The sequence below is a fragment of the Homo sapiens genome, chromosome 2, assembly GCF_000001405.40.
Source record: "Homo sapiens chromosome 2, GRCh38.p14 Primary Assembly".
NCBI lineage: Eukaryota > Metazoa > Chordata > Mammalia > Primates > Hominidae > Homo > Homo sapiens.
In genome coordinates, this window is record NC_000002.12 from 88,920,098 (window position 1) to 88,944,129 (window position 24,032).

At 39.7% G+C, this 24,032-nt stretch overlaps 2 pseudogenes and 1 further gene, besides 2 other annotated features; 1 reads left to right on the forward strand and 2 right to left on the reverse strand.

Moving 5' to 3' along the window:
* The window catches only part of IGK (immunoglobulin kappa locus), a 1,378,008-nt gene that overhangs the window by 62,737 nt on the left and 1,291,239 nt on the right, over positions 1-24,032 (forward strand).
* PGBD4P5 (piggyBac transposable element derived 4 pseudogene 5) lies at positions 2,011-2,656 on the reverse strand (annotated as a pseudogene).
* On the reverse strand, positions 11,554-12,281 carry IGKV2-4 (immunoglobulin kappa variable 2-4 (pseudogene); annotated as a pseudogene). The gene is given in 2 exon segments: positions 11,554-11,864; positions 12,233-12,281. Coding segments are annotated over 2 exon segments (360 nt in total).
* Positions 11,854-11,864: a sequence feature (IGKV2-4 leader sequence).
* Positions 12,233-12,281: a sequence feature (IGKV2-4 leader sequence).

A 24,032-nucleotide genomic window follows, 5' to 3' on the forward strand; every position in this document is an offset into this window, starting at 1 on the left:
TTGGTGGAGACGGGGTTTCACCGTGTTGGCCGGGCTGGTCTCCAGCTCCTGACCACGAGTGATCTGCCAGCCTCGGCCTCCTGAGGTGCCAGGATTGCAGCCGGAGTCTCGCTCACTCAGTGCTCAATGTTGCCCAGGCTGGAGTGCAGTGGCATGATCTCGGCTGGCTACAACCTCCACCTCCCAGCCGCCTGCCTTGGCCTCCCAAAGTGCCGAGATTGCAGCCTCTGCCCGGCTGCCACCACGTCTAGGAAGTGAGGAGCGTCTCTGCCTGGCCGCCCATCATCTGGGATGTGAGGAGCCCCCTCTGCCTGGCCGCCCAGTCTGGGAAGTGAGGAGCGCCTCTTCCCGGCCGTCATCCTGTCTAGGAAGTGAGGAGTCTCTGCTCGGCCGCCCATTGTCTGGGATGTGGGGAGCGCCTCTGCCCCGCCGCCCCATCTGAGATGTAAAGAGCTCCTCTGCCCGGCCGTGACCCCGTCTGGGAACTGAGGAGTGTCTCTGCCCCGCCGCCACCCCGTCTGGGAGGTGAGGAGCGTCTCTGACCGGCCGCCCCGTCTAAGTGAGGAGCCCCTCCGCCCGGTAGCCGCCCAGTCTGGGAAGTGAGGAGAGTCTCCGCCCTGCAGCTGCCCCGTCCGGGAGGTGGGGGGCAGCCCCCGCCCGGCCAGCCGCCCCGTCTGGGAGGTGGGGGGCGCCTCTGCCCGGCCGCCACCCCGTCTGGGAGGTGTACCCAACAGCTCATTGAGAACGGGCCATGATGATGATGGCAGTTTTGTCGAATAGAGAAGGGGGAAATGTGGGGAAAAGAAAGAGAGATCAGATTGTTACTGTGTCTGTGTAGAAAGAAGTAGACATAGAAGACTCCATTTTGTTCTGTACTAAGAAAAATTCTTCTGCCTTGAAAAAAAAAAAACAGAAAAATTATGCAATTTTTGAAAGAAAGGGTTAATTTCATACAATTGATCTGTTTATTATACAATATCAAGTGTAAAAGCAGAAATACAAAAATGTTTTTATAACACGTAATCCAGTGTTTGAGAACCTACAATAATAACCACAGAACTATAGCATACACAATATAGTAAATTTTTTTCATATATTAAATATGATTCACGTTTCTTGGGGTGACTATAGTTTTCTCACTAATAGAAGAACAGTAAGTTGATTAAACCAAAAATCATGACACAATTATATAGGGAGGAAGTCAGAGCACTCTGTTCTTAAGCTCTGCTCTAGGGAGAAACTATTTAACCAGCCTAATGTGCTATATACAGTTTTATTATTATCTAACTGACTGGGGAAAGAGAAATACTCAACTCCATCCAGCACTAGCATCCAGTCCCACCTACATGGGTGGAGAAAGAAGCAAAGAGACACTTGTGATGTTTACAGTCCACAGACATAAGCTCACTAAAGCACTGAACCCTAAGCATAGAAGTATAGAATGTTTCTCTTCCCCTACACCTTACCCCCATATTATTAAAGGCCTATTTCTAGCACTTCCCTTCACCCAATATATTTTATCTGGCTATCAAGTAAAAATTATAAGGCATAATAAAAGGCAAAAAGACATGGTTTGAAGATAACAAGCAAGCTTCGGAACCAGACATGGCAGGGATGTTGTAATTTTTAATAGAGGAGCAATGTAAACTGAAAGATGAAGATCCCAAGAAAAAGCAAAAAAAAGAAAATGCTAGAGATTAAAAAACAAAACTAAACAGAACACTGTAACAGAAAGGACTGGGTATGGCTGGAAAAACAAAGTCTGATCTTGAGAGTATATTAATAGAAATCTCCAAAACTGAAGAGAAAAGAGAATAAAGACTGAAAACCAAAGGCCCAAGAACTGTGAGACATATACAAAAGGTGTTACATTGTTTAACTCTTTTTCTCTTTAGAAAAAAAAAAAAGTGCAGTTTGCTGCCAGCATTCATATAATTTTACATAAACACACTCTTTGAGGCTGAAGCAAATCTGACTGATTTTCAATGTGAAATAAAATATAAAATCCGTTCTTGGAATTATTTCTAAACAGAACTTGTCTCTAATCCTAATATAACAGAAATGTATATGATAATCAGTATTTAATAATTTTTTGTGTGGTAAATTTCAAAGCACAGAACAACATAAAGCGGAATATCACATTCCACACAAAAATATCACGTTTCTCTTCAGATTGTCTTGCTAGGCTCGTCTTTGCACAAGCAGCAAACTTTGCAGTGACCAGTTGGATTTCGCTCCCCTGATGTTGGTGATATCTCTTGGGGAAAGGTCTTCCATACAGGTGAAGAGGTATGACATCATCAGAGCAAGGATGACCTGGAAGACTTTGCTGCCCTGGCCTGTGATGCTTTAAGAGCATTTTTTCAATCAACGTCAGTCTGAAGTTTATATGGCTAATTGTGTGCTCAGGATTGTCCTTCTTGAACAGGGTGTAGAGGTTCATTCAGCACTGTAATGTTTAGAAGGTGGTGAAAGAATTTCTTAGACCGAATCTTGTGCCCTTTGAAGAAGTGAGCATCAAATCAGCTGAGTCCACTGCTCCCATCTTCTCACTATAGTCCACAGTGGCATATGACTTCTTAGTTTTCTCTCCATTTCTGTTGTCTACTTCAATCACAGTATCATTGTGGAATGTTGACCACATTCTCACCTTCTTCTTTTTGAGGTAAACACTGTAGCTGCAAGTGCTGCCAGCAAGTATTCTTGGGCAAAAGGTAAATGGGTTAATGGACATGAAGAAAAAGGAGGAGGACGGGGTGGAGGCGTGGTAAACAAAACCATATTGAGTGAAAATTTTTCTAAATTAATGTCAGATATCGAACCACAGATCCAAGAAGATCAGGAAACACCAAGCAGTATAACTGCCAAAATAAGCAAATAAGCAAAACAAACAAACAAACAAAAACAAAAAACACTTGAGCATATAATTTTTAAACTATAGGAAGTCAAAAACAAAGAAAAAGTATTGAAAAGGAGACAGAGAGAGAGAGAGAGCATGAACATAAGAGAAACAAACCTTTCATGTAGAGGAGCAAATATAAATATTGCATCCAACTTCTTCTGTGAAACAGGAAGCATTCTTCACTTCAATGCAAGCAAGAGGAGAGTAGAGTGAAGTATGTCGTGTTGAGAGAAGAAAACCACCAACCTAGGATTCTGTTTTCTATGAAATCATCCTTCAAAAGGAAATGATAAATGATGGCTTTCTCAGACAAACAAAAATTCAGAAAAATTTGTTGCCAGTAAACATGCTTTGTAATAAATAGAAAAAGAAAAGTTCTTTTGAGAGAAGGAATATAGTATAGGTCAGAAATTTGAATTTACATAAAAGAAGAGCATCAAGAAGAAATAAGTGAGGGAAAAATTAAGGAACATATTTTTCTTAACTGATATAATTTTTTTCAAAATAATAGTAATGTGATTATTATGCATGCTGATGTATACATTTACATATATAAATACACACGTATGCACATATATGCATACTTATTTATACTTACATATAAGTGAAATGAATGACAATAATGCAACAAATGGAAAAAATTAGGAATACTTTGTTATTATCAGGTACTCACATGACCTATGAAATGGTATAGGAGTATTTGAAAGTAGGCTTGGATTAGTTGTAAATGTATATTGAAAACTTCAGAGCAACACTAAAAGAGGTTAAAAAATCTAATATGCTAATAAAGGAGAGAAAATAGAAGCGCATAAGATGCTAAATTAAAACCATAAAAAAGCAGAAACAAGTAGAAGATAAACATAGAAAAAAAACACACCAAACAATAAATCGAAAACAGTGAAAGTGTGGTAGACATTAATCCAAGGCATTGATAATTAGTTGGAGCATCAAGTGTCTAAATGTACAAATTAAAAGATATGTTATTAGAGTGTATCAAAAAGGAAGATTCAACTATATGGTGTCTATAAGAAACCTAATTAAAATATTAAAGCACATATAGATTGAAAAGTATATGAATGGAGAAAGATATACCATGCTAATATTAATCAAAAGAAAGCACAAGTAGCTATATTAATTTTGGAAAAGAAGATCTCAAAGCAAGGAAATTTATCATGGACAGAAAGAGCATTACATATGAAAAAGGGGCCAATTCTTCAAGAAGACAAAGCAGTGCTTAACATATGCGAGCTTAACAGCAGACTGTCAAAATAAATGTGGCAAAAACTGATAGAACTACAAGAAGGTACAGCTGAGTCCACGATTACAGTTAAAGACTTTAACACTTCACTATCAGAAATGGGTAGATCCAGCGGGCTGAAAACCCATAAAAACAGTCAAACTCAACAACACTATCAATGAACTATGTATAATTGCCATGTGTACACTATTTTGTCCAAACACATATTTTTTCAAGATCACATGGAATATTCTCTGTGATAAACTTAATGCCAGGTCATAAAACACACAGTAACGTATTTTAAAAAAATAGAAATCATTCAGTGCCTTCTCTCAAACCACAATGGTATTAAAATACAAATCAATACCAAAATGTAGACAATACCCAAATATGTGGAGATTAAACAGCACACTTCCAAATAACAAAAGAGTTAAAGAAGAAATCTCAGGAGAAATTTAAGAAGATTTTGAACTAAATGGAAATAAAAACATGACTCATCAATATTTGTGGAATACAGCGAAAGAGGTGCTGAGAGGGAAATTTATATTATCAAATGTATAAATTAGAAAGAAGAAAAATCTAAAATCAATAATCTAAGCTTTCACTGTATGAAAGTAGAAAAAGAAGATAAAATTAAATCTAAATTAGGCAGAAGAAAGGAAATAAATATTAGAGCAGATATCAAAAAAATTGAAAGCAGGAAGTCAACAGAAAAAAAAACATTAAAAGCTAATACTATAAAAATACAAATAACATTGATAAGCCTCAAGCCAAGCTAAGGAAACACAGAAAGCACACACATTGCTAACAGCAGAACTGAAAGAGGGGACATCACTACAGATCCTATGAAGCTTAAAAGGATACTGTACGACTATTATAAACAATGCTATGATCCAAACTTGATAACTTTGATGAAATGGATGAAGTCCTTGAAAGAAGCAATCTACCAAAACTAACTAAAAGAAATAGACAGTATAAACTGCCCTATATATATTTTATATATTTAATAAACTGAATAAATAACTAACAACCTTTTTAAAAATAAAGCACCAGATTCAGATGGATTCAATGGTGAATTCTACCAAATATATGAGGAAGAAATTCTTCAAATTCTCCATCTATTTCACAAGATAGAAGCAAAGGGCATACCTCCTAAGTCATTCTGTGAGGGAAATACTAGTCTACTAACAGAACCAGGCAAAGACATTACAAGAAAATAGAACTACAAATATTTCTCATGAACATAGATGCAAAAATCCTCCAAAAAGTATTAGCAAATCGACTATGACAATGTATAAAAAAACACTATACAGTATAGTATGCCAAGTTGGATTTATGCTAGGTATGAAAGGCTGATTCAGTAGTCAAAAATTAATTGATTTAATCCAATGTTAATTCTTGTGCATCCAACACAATTGAGTATCCAGAGAATGGGATATTATTTATAGCCTAAATAAACAAGCTATCAAACCACGAAAGAACATGGAGGAAATTTAAATGCATATTACTAAGTGAAAAAGTCAATCTGAGAAGACTGCATATTATATTATTTCAACTATATGATGTTCTGTAAAAGACAAAATCATAGAGACAGTGAAAGGATCAGTGGTAGTTAGGGATTTGGGAGGGTGGGGGATGAATGGGGGAGGTGAACAGAGAATTTTTAGGGCAGTGAAACTGTTATGTCTGATACTACAAAGATGGATATTTCCTATTATACATTTTTCAAAACCTATAACATGTATGACATCATAAGTGAACCCTAATGTAAACTAAGAAGCCCTAATCTAAACTCTGGGTGATAATGTTGTGTCAATGTAGGTTCACTATGGTGGGGGATGTTGATAACTGGGGAAGCTTTGCCTGTGTCAGAGAAAGATACGAGAATCTGCACTTTCTTCTCAATTTTGCTGTGAACCCAAAACTACTCTAAAAATGAGCTCTTTAAAAACATAACTTCCTCCCCTGCCCGGCCAGCCGCCCCGTCCGGGAGGTGGGGGGCAGCCCCCGCCCGGCAGCCACCCAGTCTGGGAGGTGGGGGGCGCCTCCGCCCGGCCGCCCCATCTGGGAAGTGAGGAGCCCCTCTGCCCGGCTGCCACCCCGTCTGGGAGGCCTACCGAACAGCTCATTGAGAACCGGCCATGATGACGATGGCGGTTTTGTCGAATAGAAAGGGGGGAAATGTGGGGAGAAGAGGGAGAGATCGGTTTGTTACTGTGTCTGTGTGGAAGGAGGTAGACATTAGAGACTCCATTTTGTTCTGTACTAGGAAAAATTCTTCTGCCTTGGGATGCTGTTAATCTATAACCTTACCCCCAACCCCGTGCTCTCTGAAACATGTGCTGTGTCCACTCAGGGTTAAAATGATTAAGGGCGGTGCAAGATGTGCTTTGTTAAACAGATGCTTGAAGGCAGCATGCTCGTTAAGAGTCATCACCACTCCCTAATCTCAAATACCCAGGGACACAAACACTGTGGAAGGCCGCAGGGTCCTCTGCCTAGGAAAACCAGAGACCTTTGTTCACATGTTTATCTGCTGACCTTCCCTCCACTATTGTCCTATGACCCTGCCAAATCCCCCTCTCTGAGAAACACCCAAGAATGATCAATAAATACTAAAAAAATTAAAAAACAAAAAAACAAGAAAAACATAACTTCTTAAAAAATAATTAGTTATTTCCACTATCTAATACAGCAACTTGAATTGTGGGAGAATGAGTAACAGTGAAAGATTTGTCATATTTTCTTTTATTATAAATCAATTATTAAAAATATTATTCTTACAAAATAATCTTTTTTGAATTTCAGAGTATTGCTATTGCCAGTAAAAGTTAATGATAAACCTTTAAAAAGTCTGCCTTGTAATTGGTTATTTTGTCTCAAAATCTGTTGCCCTTAAGTATCCAGACCATGTAAACTTTTGTAAGAATTCTTCTTTCATCAGAAAAAGGCTTTGAAATTTTCTTATACTATCTGGGAGTATAATATTCTTAATTCTAAATGGGAACCTCCCCTTTCTGTATGTTAACATACCGTGCCAAAATGTTGACAACAGCAGCTAGAGTGGATCACTCCACACTGGACAAAGATAAGAATTGATAAAGTTTGTAAGAACAGCCTATGTTTAGATCTAGGTGGGAAGCAGGCCACTGTGTGTCTCCAATCTTGGTCACATTCAACTGCATGAGGACAGACTTATATAGGTCAGTTTTCTTGTAGTTCAACTTTCTTGCCAAATCCTGTTTGGGGGTCCATAAGTGTAAAAGCACATGTAATATATATACATATATAATATGTATGTGTGTGTGTAATAATATATATATTACATGTATACATGTATATATACATGTAATATATATACCTTATATATATTCTCTCTCTCTCTCTCTCTCTCTCTCTCTCTCTCTCTATATATATATATATATATATATATATATATGACTTGGGAAAGAGGAGTCTTGGAAGTGGAATTGCTTGTGTCCATTAAGCTGGATTCAGTGTTCGTAGGGTGGAGTTTGACCCTATTTGTAGGGGATTTGGGGGCTTATCAAGGAAAAAGAGGTGACCACAGAGTAGCAGTAGCACACACATTTATTGGGTGAAACTTTGAGGGGCTCACAGGGACAAGTCCTTCACAGCAGGAGTCTTTGCAGATGTGAAGGTGCCAGGTTGCTATTCAGAAAGGAAGGGAAACAAGAAAACACCTGAGGAAAGGGACACTGGAGAAAGGGGCTTATGTGTCTAGGTGATGTCACACAGCAGCATGATGGAGAGCCTCTGGGTTAGAAAGCTCAAGAGGACAGTTGCAGTTTGGGGGTTTTATTGCCTGAATCTTACTTTATTTATTGGCAGCAGGTGAGGTTTCCTGGCATATGCAAAGCAAGCAGTGTCTAAATGGCAAAATAATAATAATAATAAAATTTGAGGGCTATTTTTGAAATAATTAGTTGTGTAAAATTTGAACTTGATGATAGTAGTTTAAAAATAAACCTGCAGTTTAGCAATACACAACTTTGAGGGCAGTAAACAGAGCTTTGATTCATTTATATAACACTGTTGCACATCCTATAATGTTTGTTCTGTTGACTTTATCAACCCAAACTGTCCAAACCTATAATGCTTTGCACTAGAATACATACCCAGATGTGTGGTTCCTTCCCATACCCAAATGGAGGTTCCTTATGGCATTGATTGTGGTGATGGATTCATGGGTGTGTACTAATTTTCAAACTCATGAAATTGTGTACATTAAATATGTACAATTTTTTGGTATGTCAATTATCTCAATAAAATGGTTTTAAAAATCTCAACTAGCAGAGGGATATTCCCCAAATGCAGATTGTCTAGAGTGGATTCCTGGCTTCAAGACACTTGTAATGAAAGCTGGTTGTCTCTTCTAAATAACTATAAATTGTCACCCAGAAGAAGTAAAATTCATGGCTAACCATTCTGTTTTACAGGTTCAGAGCAGGCTTTGTGGATGTGTTTATCCTCCGAATTTATATATTCTCTCTAAACACTGGGAGACGTTAGTATGTTTACATGTCTGACTTCTCTGGGTTGTCAAGATCCCATTTTTGATCTACCTAATATGAATTTGTATCCAAATGTTTAAATTCTTTTCTTTCCTTTTACTTGAAGTAAATACTAAAAAATCCTACAGAGATACTCAACCCAACCATAAAAATGAGTTTGAGAATCATGTGTTGGCGATGAAGGCTTTTTATCTGTAAATGCTAAACTTTCTGCTGAGCCCAGCTCACCCATGGACTAACTGGATAAAGTGAGACAATAATTCCATTGTCTACCTGAGCATTCCCCACCTTAAAATTTTTAACTGCCTCTAACATCTCTGCTCTAGGCTTACTCTTGAAGACAGGGTCCTCTATCTTGAAAAGAAGTTTTTCTCAAAAGCCAGAGCTTGTTTAATAATTTTCAGTTTTTTTAATGTGAGATTTGTCTATTCCACCTTGTAAGAAAATTTGATTTGCCAGACAAATGAAAAGTGGAAAACTCAAGAAGAGTTTAGAGATAGAATCAAGGACAATAGCATTTTAAACTGTGGGTACATCTGTCTTTGAAATAATTTGTATAAATATACGGAAATGACAAAGTAAATAATTTTTTTGTATTTTTAATTTAGATAAGATAGTTTACTTGCAGAAAAATGGAGACTATGAACCTGGAATTCTCAAATTCAATGTTTTTTCTTCCGGTTTAAATAATTTCAAGAATCTATAAAATACTTACATAAACTTTAAATACAGAAATTTTAAGAGCTTCAGAAAAAATCGACCAAATTAAATCCCTTACACTAGTTTCTGAAATCAACCAAAATTGTGTTTTAACTACTGTGTTTTATTTCCAATGAACAACAATCAAAAACATTAGATAAAGTAAGATGCAATAGGTGAATGAATTGTTTGGTGGTCACTCTTAGTTATAATGAGATAATAATGAGACAATATCTTCATCAGAAAGTGGAAATGGTGACTTTCTGCCTTAAGGGAGCAGGGGACTCACAGTTGTAAACTTCCCCTCCGTCTTGATCTTTCTTGTGCAGGAGCCGAGGGTAATCCACTGTTTCAGTGGTCTTTGAGCAGCAACAGTCCTCATCTTTCTGTAATTCTAGAAATGCTCATACTGGGCTCTTCTAAAACACTTTTTATGCTAAATAGAAAAATAAAGATCAGTAATAAAATAAAAAGAAATAAAATAAAATAACTTATGAACTCCTGGAAGTAGTTGTGGGATAAAATTATAAAGTTTAACAAAAAACTAGAACCTAGAACAACTTACTAAAAACTAATTTAGTCAAATTTTACTCTTATTTTGTATTCTTGCCCTCACAAATTAGGAATTTTCTCAACCCAAAGAATGATTGCCTTTCTTATATTCTGGAATCTTAACAGCCATAGGAGAAATTTGAAACTATGAGAATTTATACTAACCAGTTATCCTAGGAAATCTGGTTACACAAAAATTAACTATTTAGAGTAAAATAAAAGGAAAAATTTGTTGATCCCATGGAAATAATTAACTGAATATTTGCTGGTCAATAAAGCTAATCCTAAGTATGCCCCTAAATAACAGCGACATCGTTGTTTCTGGATTAATGCTAAGTTTTCAAGATCCATTAAAAGTAATTTGCCTTGGATTCAGACTCATAGTATTGGTCATAACTGTAATTCAACTACCACCAGAACTTGTAGAAGACAACAACAAAAAAGAAGGGGTAATGAGAAATATGTTATGAAATGTATCCCAATGTTAACATTTATGAAGGAGAGGGAGGTGTTTTATGAATATCTATTCTCATAGCACTGATATCTTCAATTTGATAAGCAAATACAAATCTTTAAACCAGAATTTGGAACAGGGTAAATATGGCTCTCATGAATTTGACTTGACTGCGTCCTGGGGTTGTATTGACATAAGGACTAGATGGAGGTACATACAGCAGAAGTAATGAAAATTATAATGTCAAATTTTAGAGCCTCCTAACTAAAGCACTAGCTCAGATACTGTATAAAGATGAAAAAAAAGTTATGTGAAAATGCCCTGGAACTGTTTCTGGACTGCCTAGTAACATCCTGGCTGTGGTTGGATGGCTGATTTACCCCAGCTGGAAGTATCAGTATTGTACAGCTGAAATTTGTGGGCACTCTCCTCTGCAGTTGTCACCAAATGGCTTATACTTTTATTTTCAAAATCCACTTGCAATTCTAAGAGCTCTCCTTTTCTCTCACAAAAGGCAGTTGAGGCAAATCAAAGACTTTTGGGATAAAATGTTATCTCCACTATGAATTGACAAAGTCTATTTAGATGTTTGCAAACTAAACATTTTCACTAATTGCTGTGAGTCACACTCCCCCTGAGTATAGCTTGTGTAGAATGCAATCACAGGTATGTAAGTGGAGGTTTGGTATAACCACTAATGGAGAGGTAGGAAGTTAGAAAGTGGGAAAATACCAATTTCTGAATATTACCAAACGTTATCGTGTTAAAAATATAACAAAACCTGCTAATCCTAACATATACCCAACCTTTGTAGCCATGAGTAGGCCTCAATTTTCTTGCTGTTATGCTGACTAAATCTCATTGACAAATGCAGGAAACACAGGGAGGATCAGAATGCACTTTCCAGGTAGCTCTCTCTTCTGTCATGTCTAGTTGCTCAGAGAGCACTTTGATCACCTTCATTCTTCTGCTTGAGCCATGTGAAATAAGGCTGTTACAGTGATGGGGCCAGAACAGTCTGGATCTTCCTGCAAATTATTCCCTGCAGTCATCTAACATCTACCTGTGAAGCCAACTCAGAATCTGCCATGCAGACAGTCCACGTGCAAACACTTGTGGATGGCTGGGCCATCCCAAGTAGGGAGGTTTGTGTTCAGGGTTTTACCACTGTGTGAGGACCTTGCAGACCCTGTTCACAGCAATAAACCCCAACATCCTCAGCCTCCACTTTGCTGAATTTAAGTGTGAAACCTGTCCCTGACCTGCTGCCACTGAACTTGTTTGGGACTCCATAGAATTTGTTAGAAATTGTGTAGATAAGAAGCTGTGGAGACTGGCCTGGCTTCTGCAGGTACCAATCCAAATAGGTGTTTCCATCACTATGCAGGAGGCTCTGACTAGACCTGCAGGAGATGGAGGCCGGCTCTCCCAGAGGGATGGGCAGGGAGAGCAGATGCTGGGTCATCACAATATCCCCACTGGATCCTAAAATAATAACAGTGAGAAGTACAAGGTTACATACAAACAATGTGAGACATTTTTATAATTTAGTTTTATTGTATACGTTAGGCTACTTTTTTGTGTTTGATTAGATTCATACACTACATTTATCCAATATCCAAAAATAATCCAATAATTAAAGGCACAAAGTGGCCTCTTTGTTTTTGAAGTTCTCGACAGTGAAGTTCTTTTTCCTTGTGGCTCGTTCTTAGTTCTTACAGGTCTGAATATTAAATTCCCTTTGCTGGAGGACAAGAAATCTGCATCTGACATGTAGACAGAACAACAAATGGGAGGCTGCAGATTCCACAGAGCTCACCCTCCAGTCCCATTCTCCTCTCTTCTGTCCTTACCAGGGACCCAGAGCATTAGCAGCCCCAGGAGCTGAGCAGGGAGCCTCACTGTGAGAAGGTGAACTGAGGAGTCCTGATCAGTCAAGGCAAGGTTAGAGCTGAGCTTTTATCTCAGACTCACAAGGGAAGGTCTTCCCTAGGGGACAACATGCAAATCCCCTGGTGAGTGAAGCAGTGAAGAAATATCCAGTTGGGGTCGAAGAGTGGGCTTCTTATGTAAGCAAAGTGACACAGAATATCTTTTGTGTTGATGAAACCAAAATAAAATATTGGTGTTGCCTGGCTTAGAAGGGTGACATTCTGAAATACCATGAATCAATGTGGAAGACACTGTGACTGCAGCCTGTCACTCTTCATTGCTGATGCAATGGAGATTGTGATGATGAAGATGTGTATCAATCTTTAGGTGGTGAATAGGCTTTCTTCTTGGCTCCACCCAGCTAATTCTGAGGAGGAACTAGCTCTCACTAACTCTGGTGCTCATTGATAGAATGTCTCTAAGTATCAGGATGAACTTGAAACAGTTCCAGGGTTATTTGGCTGTGGTTGCAAGGCTGATTTCCCTCAGCTTGTATTTCACTGTAGCTGGTATTTCTGGGCACTTGGCTCTACAGCTGCCATTAAATGGCACTAAATGATGCCCCAGTGAATAAGCTAGCTGTAATGTGTGCTTCGTAAACAAGGAGAAAATTAGAGTTCACGGGAAGAGGAATGCATATTCCATTCCATTGTATCTAATGCATGTCGTTGTCTTTGAAGGGAGGAAGGCCTTGGTAGGCCTCTTTGGATTCTAGAGGCAAGAAATTCTGTACCTTGGAATACTGTACTGGCTCACTGACCGACTGATACACGAGTCAGCCAGCCTTGAGTGGGACCCGGGGCAAAAAAAGGGCTCTGCAGCAGGTTCAGCCTGTAGCACAAGCAGTCCTGCCTCTCAGGCCAGTGCAGATGCAGATGAATTGGACAGCACAATCAACCATCTGGACATAATTGACACTTCGAGAACACTCCACCAGCACAGCAGATTGCATAATCTTTTCAAAAAATTTACTAAAATAGACCATATTGTTACCAGAAAAGGGGATTTTGATTCAAACTCCAAGAGAGGATTCTTGGATTTCATGCAGGAAGAAATTCAAGGAAAGTTGGAAAGTGCAGTGATAAGAGAGAATTTATTGAAAATTACTCCATTACAGAGTAAGGCATCCTCAGAAAGCAAGCAGAGGAACATACCGTCTTTAAGTTTTTCTTATATAGGAGTGTCGTCTATGTAAAGACTAAACTAAGCTGTGCCTACATGCGGATGAGCAGACATTACGACAAAATTTATTATTCTGTTGATTTAAGGGAAACTATTCTTGACATTCTAGTGTGTTATCTTGGAAATAAGGACTGTGTCTTGCAAAGAAACATATTCATTGGGGCAATGTGTTATCAAAAAAAAGATTTTATCTACTTATGATCCAATAATTTAGACTGACTTCAACAGATTTTTTTAATGACAAAAAGCAGAAGATGGTATAAGAGGAAAATACAATACAACAGAAAACACAAGCTATTATAACTCTTGCTTCATGGATTTTTACATATCTATTAGACATATGCTGGGTATATGTGTGCAATGATAATCTAAAAACTGGATGCTAACTAGCTTAAGGAATGCCTGCATTACACTGAGTCTTGCCCACTTTTCCAATTATAAACAGAAAGCTACAGTACTATTTGTATGAGTATCAAAACTTTTAGCTGCCTGAGATAGAGGTAAAGAAGATTTACTGAGATAAAAGCCTTGGAAGTAGTAGAGATTTGTCCTATGATGTTATGGCTGTTGCTGTGGTTGCCGTTGTTAGGAAATACAGTGGGAGTGAAAGCAAGATTGACAAGCTCTGCTCTTCCTCATACTCACAACCCCCTCTAGAGATGGACAGATGGTGGTACAGGAATCTCTGACACCTCTTAGAAGTCTTTTGCTCTTTCCAGAATGTTTCCTGACAAGTATTGTTTTGAGTCACAGATTAGGTGAAACTGGGTGTAGAAGAAAGGACTAGAGCAAGGGAAGAAGTTTTCCATCCCAGATAGTTGTTGTAGGAACAGGGAAATGGAATTTTTCATAGATTTATGCCACATTTCTATCATGTTGGGGAGAGAGGCATCAAACCAGGCTCATTCCTGAAAGAATCATTACATTATTTTAGAGAGAAAGAACTACAAATTTCTTGTCAAATAGATGTTTAAAATTCAAAGCTACTGATTTTTTTTTTTTTTTTTTTGAGATAGAGTCTCGCTCTGTCATCTGGGATGGAGTGCAGTGGCACGATCTTGGCTCACCACAACCTCTGTCTCTCTGATTGAAGCAATTCTCCTGCCTCAGCCTCCCAAGTAGCTGGGATTACAGGTGCAGGCCAACATACCTGGCTAATTTTCGTATTTTTAGTAGAGACGGGGTTTTGCCATATTGGCCAGGCTGGTCTGAAACTCCTGACCTCAGGTGATCTGTCTGCCTCAGCCTCCCAAAGTGTTGGGATTACAGGCTTGAGCCACTGCACCAGGCCCTGCTGATGTATTAATATTATTCATCTTCTTGAATACACCAAATGGTAAAGTGCAAATCCACACTTTAAACTTGAGATTTCTACTCCTATGTAAATTATACTAGTGAGGAACAAAAAAATTCTCTATTGGTTGGGAGATGATGTTTGACAGTGGTCAGTTTGTGAAGTGGAGGCTTACGTCACAGTACTTTTTACAGTATTGCATATAAACATGAATGTCCTCATACCCAGAAGAATCAGCATTTCTCATGAGCCATATTACCACCAAGAAAGAAGTGAATTGAAGCCTGTGACTACTTGATGAAGGGTGTATAGAAGAGGGAAAGAAAAAGGACACAAAACACAATATTGTAAGTGGAAAGGAGAAAGTCATTACACAGCCTATAAGAGTAAAAAAATAAAGAGAGGATATTATGAGTAATTTTATGTCAACTGACTTGACAAAAGTGGTGCAGGGCAGGTTCTTGGCTTCACTAGGAAGGAATGCAGCGTAAGCTGGTGGTAGAAGAAAACAGCTTTACTGAGGTGGCAGTGTTACACCTCTGTGACTGCTCTTGTGGAGCAGAGCTACCCCATAGGCAGTGTGCCAAGAGCAGTAGCATAGGGCAGTTTTGCAGTCATATTTATCACTGCTTTTAATGACGTGCTAATTAAGGAGTGGGTTATTCAGAAATAACTAGAAAATGGGCAGTAACTTTCAGGTTTTGCCATGGCAATGGTAAACTGATACGGCACTGGTGGGCATGTGTTATGGACAGGTGCTTCCAGTGTCTCTTCCTTGTGTCACCCACTCTTCAATCTGGTCCAGAGTTGAGTCCCACCTACCTCCTACCTCATTGCCCCTTGGAGATTAGATACTCCTCCTTAATCTTAAGGGGACTGCAGAAGAGCAGAGTCCCTTTTCTGTGAGTGCTTCCTTCTGACTTTATGGGGGCAGGCCTTCCCTAGCATTTGAAGAGTAAAAATCTTTGGTATCTGAACTAAGGGGCCCAGTGGCAGGATGCTTTCATTTGTGGGGTCAGAAGACAGAATGGATTGAAAGACTTATGACGGACCGTATCATTTTTACATGAAATTTAGAAGATATAAACTTTACTAGGAGGTTAAACAAGAAAATTATAATTGGAAGAGAGAGAAAAATTAATGCTCCTATGTCCACCCACAGAACCAAGTTGTTAATCTATGTGTTTGCAAAACAACAGCCTTAAGTTTTCTAGGTTTTATAAATGGAGGTTGTGGTGTCCACCTTTTGTGCCTGCAGGATCTCATAAGAAACAGGTTTAATCCTGGACAGCTAGTGGCTTCCTGAAGCCTAACAGTAGTTGGAATAATTAAGAATATCTGGTAAGGGCCCCTTTATTCTGATTATTATTGATTCTTGGGGGATCATTTTGTTGTTGTTGTTTTTTAAGACAGAGTCTCGCTCTGTTGCCCAGGCTGGAGTGCAGTGACACAATCTCGGCTGGGCTCACTGCAACCTCTGCCTCCTGGTTTCAAGCTATTTTCATGCCTCAGCCTTCTGAGTGGCTGGGATTACAGGCATGTACCCCCATGCCTAGGTAATTTTTTGTAATTTTAGTAGAGATATGGTTTTGCTATGTTGGCAAGGCTGGTTTTGAACTCCTGGCCTCAAGTGATCCACCCACCTCAGTCTCCCAAAGTGCTGAGATTATAGGCGTGAGCCACTGCACCCAGCCAGTTCCTTCTTTTTAAGTTTTTCATAAGACTAAGTCTTTTGGTTAAACAGAGGAGCTATTATTTTGTTTTGTGGAAAAGGGCACTATTTTATTTTCATAATTTTAAAAGCCCTTTTGAATCTGGCCTACATTTCAAACAGGGGTGGAGCAAGGTGTGTCTGACTCCCTGTTTCCCACCATGGCTTGAGTTAGATTTTTTTTAGGTTTCTTTGGTAGTTCCTTTGGCCACAGAGCTTGGAATGAAAACATTTATAGCCAATTAAATATTTTAGGCCAGACAGCATGGAGGTGGGCAGGCACTCATTAGCCCTTAAGCAGGCAGATCATGAGGTCAGGAGATACAGGCCATCCTGGCTAACATGGTGAAACCCCATCTCTACTAAAAATAAAAAAAATTAGCTGGGCATGGTGGCATGTGTCTGTAGTCCCAGCTACTCGGGAGGCTGAGGCAGGAGAATCCCTTGAACCCAGGAGGCAGGGGTTGCAGTGAGCCGAGGTCGCACCACTGCACTGCAGCTTGGGTGACAGAGTGAGACTCCATCTCAAAGAAGAATATATGTATTTTTAAAGCTGTATAAAAATAAAAAAGTAAGGCCCCAAATAAGGTTATATATGTTAAAAAACCAAGTACGTAGAATAATACTATACTGGGGGAAAACATTGCTTCCAGAGACGCCTAAGACAAAACACTTTAGCATCAAGTCCGCAACAACAGTCAGAACCGGAGGTGAAAAAGCCACAGGAGCTGATGAAGAAGCAAAAGGAGACAGCAATGATCTCAGGCCTTTTTAAAGGGAGAATAAGCTGAAAGCAGCAAAACACCACAGTTGAATCTCTAAGACACTAATCTCAGAAGTTTTAAAAGAAACTCATTATTGCATCAAAGGCAAAATTTTCTGTTTTACTTTTTGTTTGTTTGTTTTTCGAGATAGTCTCACTCTGTCACTCAGGCTGCAGTGCAATAGCACAATCTTGGCTCACCACAAGTTCTGCCTCCCGGGTTCCAGCCATTCTCCTGCCTCAGCCTCCCAAGTTGCTAGGATTACAGGTACGTACCACTGTGCCTAGCTAATTTTTGTATTTTTAGTAGAGATGGGGTTTTACCATGTTGGCCAGGCTGGTCTTGTACTCCTGACCTCAAATGGTCCACCCGCCTCAGCCTCCCAAAGTGCCGGGATTACAGGCATGAGCCACTGCACCTGGCCTGTATAATTTTCAATAATGTAGCAAATTAATAACTTAAGAAAACCCAGTTTCAATATGCAGACGATTTTCTAGAAAGTGACTGGGCCATCATTGTTCTCATCTCAGATTTCCACTTCCTGTATAGAAGGTGTAAGAAGAGGTAGCAAGACATTATGAAACTAAATTGTAAGCATTTGTTAGTGAACAAAATATGACTAAAGCGCTACTTTTTTTAAAAAATTTTTATTTATTGTTATTATTTTTTGATACAGGGTGTCACTCTTTTACCAGGCTGGAGTGTAGTTGTGCCATCTTGGCTCACTGCAACCTTCGCCTCCTGGGTTTAAGCAATTCTCATGCCTCAGCCTCCCAAGTAGCTGGAATTACAGGCATGCATCACTATGTCCAGTCTATTTTTAGTAGAGACAACACTTCACAGTGTTGGCTAGGTTGGTCTTGAACTCCTGACCTCAAATGATCTACCCACCTCGGCCTCCCAAAGTGTTGGGATTACAGGCGTGAGCCACCATGCCCGGCCTTAAAGCAGTATTTTTATTAAATAAAGTGTAGAAGAAAAAGTGTAAATAAAGTGACAAAAAGAAAACACAAGGCCGTTATGGAAAATGATAACTTTAGGGAAGAAAACAAGAAAAGGCAAACCAAGATTCCCATAGGGTGAGTCTCCAATCCACAATCCTCAGACAAATGTCAATGCTGGAAACCCTGGAGCATCCAGGGAGTGACCGAAAATACCAAATGCTGAAAACCCAGAGTACCCGCGTATCAGCCTATGAGTGTCCCACACCAAATGCCAGGAAACCCTGGAGTATCCAGGGGCTGACCAGTGCAGAAAATCCTGGAGCCTCAGTGGGGTGGCCAACAGTGAGCCCCAAAGGCCTGGTTGGGGCCACAGAACAATGTGACTCTGGCTTCTTAGAGTCAACAGAACAGGAGAATTCTTACATCCAAGTGTCCTGCCTTAAACAATTGCACAAACATAATTAGTAGGGACCCAAAGAAAAAACTGCAAAGCAAACACATATATCAGGGTAGAAAATAAGATAAATTGGCTAATGGATAGATAAAATGGCATTAGAGGAGAAATGACTAAGAGAAGGAGCAATGAGGATGTAGTCAGGTGTGCTATGGGGGACTTCAAATGGACTATTTAGCCAAAGGCCTTATTTCCTGGATCATCTGACATAGGGCAGGTGGGTAGATGGGACACTTACAGGTGTGCAGGAGCCAAAATGGTGCCAAGCAGTGTCTAACGTGGGGCCTGTGTGAAGATCTCTCCAGGCCCCCCAGCTTGGGTGGGTTGAGCTCCCGTGGGTGAACTGGTGCATGCAGCAGCTGGCCTGCATGAAGCAGTGGCTCTGTGGCCACTTACCTAACTGCTCAGCTCCACCGCCTGTCAGGAAAGATGATGGCTCTTAAAACAGCCTTTGGCTAGTGTTAACAGCTCTGCAATGTTAGCAACTCTGTAGCTTTGCTCGCTGTAGTGCTGATCCCCATCACACCCTCTCTCACTGATCACTGTCTTGCCACTTCTCCAATAGCTGTCTTGCCCATTGCTGATCGCTATGTCCATCTTCTCACAAAATGCCATCTCTTGCTGTCTCTTGCTGTCTTGCTTCTCCGCTGTTTCCACTGACTCACTGGCACATCAAACGCTGCCTCTCACCATGTCACATTTATCCTCCCTCCTCATTAAACATCCATCTTCATGTCCAGCCCTTGCATCACCAGGCTGATGTCTCTGTACTGGGCCAGGTACTGGAGAGTATTGTTCCTCCATCTTCACCATTAAGCCATGGTTCTCTCAAATCAAACCTTCTCACTGCACCAATTTTGCCAAGAAGGTTTGCTGTGCACTGGTTGCCAACTTACCCAAATCCGGTGACACACAGCACCCATGCACAACCAGTTACATGAAGTGGATTACTACTTACAGAGAGTCAGCCAGAGAGAGCACAAAGCTGCGGGGACCTGATTGACACTAGACTGTGTGTACCCCACAAGGACTGCAGCTGAGGGACCCTGGAATACAGCCCACCCTGGGTTTTATGTCTTAGAATCACATGACACACTGGGCTAGAGTGTTGAAGGAATTCCTGTTTCTAGTAGGGACAGAAACGGAACCCAGGCTGTTCTGGCCAATCATGCCCTATCTCAGAATGTTACATTTCCAGAACATTCTACAGTTATTCCAGAAAACTACAATCAAGAAAGGGAAGGGGACTGGGTTGATTCAAGACAAAATGAAAACTATTCTGCAAATACCATAGTGAAATCACAGCTCAGTAATCTTTTTGTGACTGGCTTATTTCATTTAGCGTAATGTCCTCTAGTTTCATCCATGTTATAGCATGTGTGAGAATTTCCCTTTTTAAAGCTAAATAATATGCTATTGTATGTATATATCACATTTGGATTACCAGTTCACTCCTTTGTGAACATTTGAGTTGCTCTACCTGTTGGCTACTATGAATAATTCGGTTCTGAATGTGGGTATACAAATATCTCCTCAAGTTAATGTCTTCAATTACTTGGGTATATGTCCAAAAGTGGAATTGCTGGATTATATAGTATTTCCATTATTAATTCTTCGAGGAATTGCCATCTGGTTTCCCACAGCAGGTGGGCCATTTACATCACCACGACAGTGTCCACAGGAGTTCCAGTTCCCTAAGTTCTCACCATGACTGGTCATTTTCTGTTGGAAAAAAAAATCCTAATAGGTGTGAGGTGGGTTTTGTTTTTATTTTTCTAAGGATTAATAATATTAAGCATCTTTTCCTATGCTAGTTATCTAATTATCTCTAAAGAATATTCTCCAGAGAAATGTCGATTCATATACTTTTCTCGTTTTTAATCAGGTATTTTATTTTAATGTTGACATGTAGGACTTATTTTTATGTACTAGATATTATTAACCCCTTATCAGATATACGATTTACAAATATTTTCTTCTATTCCACATGTTGCATTTTCACTGTGTTGGTTATGTCTTTTGATGCCCATTTTACATTTTTATGTAGTCCAATTTATCTTCTTTTCTACTTTTGCCTGTATTATGGTATTAAAGGTGTTAGTATTCAAATGTCTATAAATACTGACTTACTATGCTGAGAAGGTCACTCTAGACCATCTCTCTGATGGTGGAGCTAAGAATTTTACACTCTCTCATTTTGTACCAGGGCACAGTGCAGCTAGGTGAGAACACAGTGGCTTTCTCGAGCTTATTTGTCTTGCATTTTTGGCGACAAGGATTGTTGTTCACATTGGCCTCCTCTGGCAGGTCCACCTGGAAAGCATTATATTTAGCAAGAAAAAAGGAGGCTGTGAATGATGTCAACTGTGTATATTCCCTGTTGCAAGTGTCAAATCCATGAAGCATAAAAGGATTTACTAGAGGATATTAAATTCCTTGCAAAGTGTTGAAAAACCTGAAGGAATAGGCTCCAGGCAAAGCCTCTAGAACAATTCCAAGAATGGCACTGCTGGCGCAGGCTGGGGAGGAGCTCCTGCTGCCTGAGACTCCACATTCAAGCTGTCTCCTGCAGGAAAGAGAGCAGCTCTTCTCACTACTGCCCCCTGAAGGACAGCAGCTCTGCTATCAACTACTAGAGACCTGACCCCTTTCCCTGCAGCCCTGCCTGTGTTGATTATATCTTCATGTCAGACTCATGTAGATTCATCTGTTTTCAAGGGTACAGGGGTTATTTCTGCCCAAGTCCACACTGTGGCTTTCTATCATAAATACACGTTTCTACACTTGAATTTCCAGGAATTACTAGTATCAACAGCAAAATGCTACAACCCAACATAAAGATTTCCTTTACAAAGAACATCATGCTCCCCATGTAGCATTGTGCTCCCCAAAATGTGGGGAAACTCCAATCTGTTCATCCCAACACCATCTAGGAAAAAATGTTCTTCTCTCATGAGCCATTAATCTGTCTACTTATTGTTTAATTTTTGGCCTAAATTGTAAAGGTGGCTAAAAATAGCACTTTGAATTTTTTTAAAGAAAGGGTATATAGAAAATATTAAATTATTTAAAATACATATATGCATGACACATTTAGTTATTGTCACCAGCTTCTTTCACATTTATTTTATTCTGTAGTTTCTGGCAATACTTTCTCTATGGTAGAGTCTGGAAATGCTACTCCTCATGTCCTTGGCTTCCTAAGTCCCAGATGTGGTGAAGAATGCACATCAGCTGTGTTACTACAGAATGCTTTTGGATTGAGATGGGGGAGGGGACGTGCTTGATCTCACTCAAATGTGCTCAATTTCCTGGTCTGGGTCACAGCCAGGCAGCCCAGTCCTATGGGCACAATATCTTCACTCGCCAGGTTTCTATCAAAATGAGAGTGTCCTTCTTGACTGTGGAAAACACGGGGCAGGGAGAGGATCAAGAAATAGCAAAAGGAGTATTTGGACTTGCCTGAGCTGCCACTCTGGTTTCCCCAAATGTTTTCATTCCATTTCATTCATGATAATAAACACCTTTCTGCCTAACCAGCCATAATCACTTTTCTTAGATCCAGCTGATTCAGTGATAAAACTAAAGGGAAAAAATAAATACAGTTTTCAACGTTTAAGCTGACCAGGTGGCTGTCTCTGGTGTTTATACCTCCATATCCCACTATGCATTTCATCTTCTCTTTGCCTCACTGGAGATCCAAGTGCAGGGAATGCTTCACGTGACTGTGATCCCTAGAACTTCATCTTCATGACTGTTGAAATCTTCTCTGAGTTTTACCAGTGGAAATGGCAATAAATAGAAAGATTCCAGAAGGTCCCCTAGGGTCCATATTTTCTGTACTTCTTCTCTAAAATAAGTAAAATCAATTCCATTTGCTCTTGCTTTATATTGGCTACATCTATGTGCCCAGGACACACCCTAAAGCCCTGTGTTGACAACTTATCCAGTATTGTATTAAGTCTAAATGGTCACATGCTTATCATATCATTTCTTCCAATTTCATGGAATAATTGTCATGTCAACTCTTTGGATTAAGAACCATCAACCAGATAACCACAGCCCTGAATAAATAGAAACAGAATATTTCAAGCTGTTCAGTTGGCATAACAGTGATGAGTCTATAGCTCATTTTCAAGATATAAATATTCTATTTATGGGAGTAAAAGCACGAATCATGGTTAGTGTTTCAGAGCCTCCACCACATCTGACAGCATAGCAATTCAACAGCACAAGGTTTGTGTGCCAGCTGTGCCTGACTAATAATGTTTTTTTCCCCTGTCTATAGGGAAATCTGCACCTGTGCACATGACAAGAGCATGAGCTACACTTTTTTCACTTTTTCTGAGGTAAATACATTGCTTGATCCAAAACCGTATTATGGAATAATTTCCTGACTCTGATGAAAGCATTTGGAAAATCCTCAAATAATATTTGTGCAGAAATACAACCAAAAAGAAAGGCAAATTCATATATAGGAAAATAACCAGTGCTCTCCTCATGTTACATGAGGTCCACTAGTATCACCTGACCCCAGCTGTTCATCTGATCCCTGATGTGTTGTACAATGTTAGGGGTTCAGGAGGGGTCATTCTTCTTGGCAAATGAGGTGTTCAGAAGAGCCAGTAGCCCTTTAAGTCTCAGTTAGTTGAAATTCATAATTGAGTCCCCAAAGGGACCTCCATAACATTGGTTCATGAGACTCCCTGGTAAAGCTGGGAAAGGTGACTGACTGAAGTCCATGTGTTGAATCATCCTCATTATTAAAAGCCCCTGCTCATTAATAGCATTTTGATTAATATTCACTGGGAAAGCATTTTTTTTTTATTTTGGCTCATCTTTGAAAAGTCTAGTCATAGCTTTTCAATCACTTTGTCTGCAATCGTTTTGTTGCATTTCTTTGAAGGCCTGATGATCTGTCAAAACCAACAGCCAATATTATTACATTGCCGTTATGTTGGGAAAAGCTGAATGTTGGGAGAAGCTGAGGCAGGGCTTGCATGTCTGACGTAATGTAAAAGAGTCTTGGAACACGTCCGGGGTCCAGGGTCTAAAACCCCTTGTGGCCTTTAGTACACCAAGCTCTGTGCTAAAGGGTGGAAGGCTACCCTGACGCACCATAATCTAAGCCCAGGGCATAAAATCCCTTGTGACTTGGATAGAATCCAGGACTCGTGGCTCTGGAGTGTGTCTACACTTGCTGGCTCCTTTCTCTTTGCTCTCCAAGGATCGATTGTATCTTGAGTTAAAAGAACCTGCTCTCCATTATCTCAAGTAGTAGAGCAAATGCTAAACCATCACAGGTGTAAATCATGTGCTTAATGCAATGCATCCTTTTGGCCTCCACATTCTTACCACGTGTTTCTTTGTTG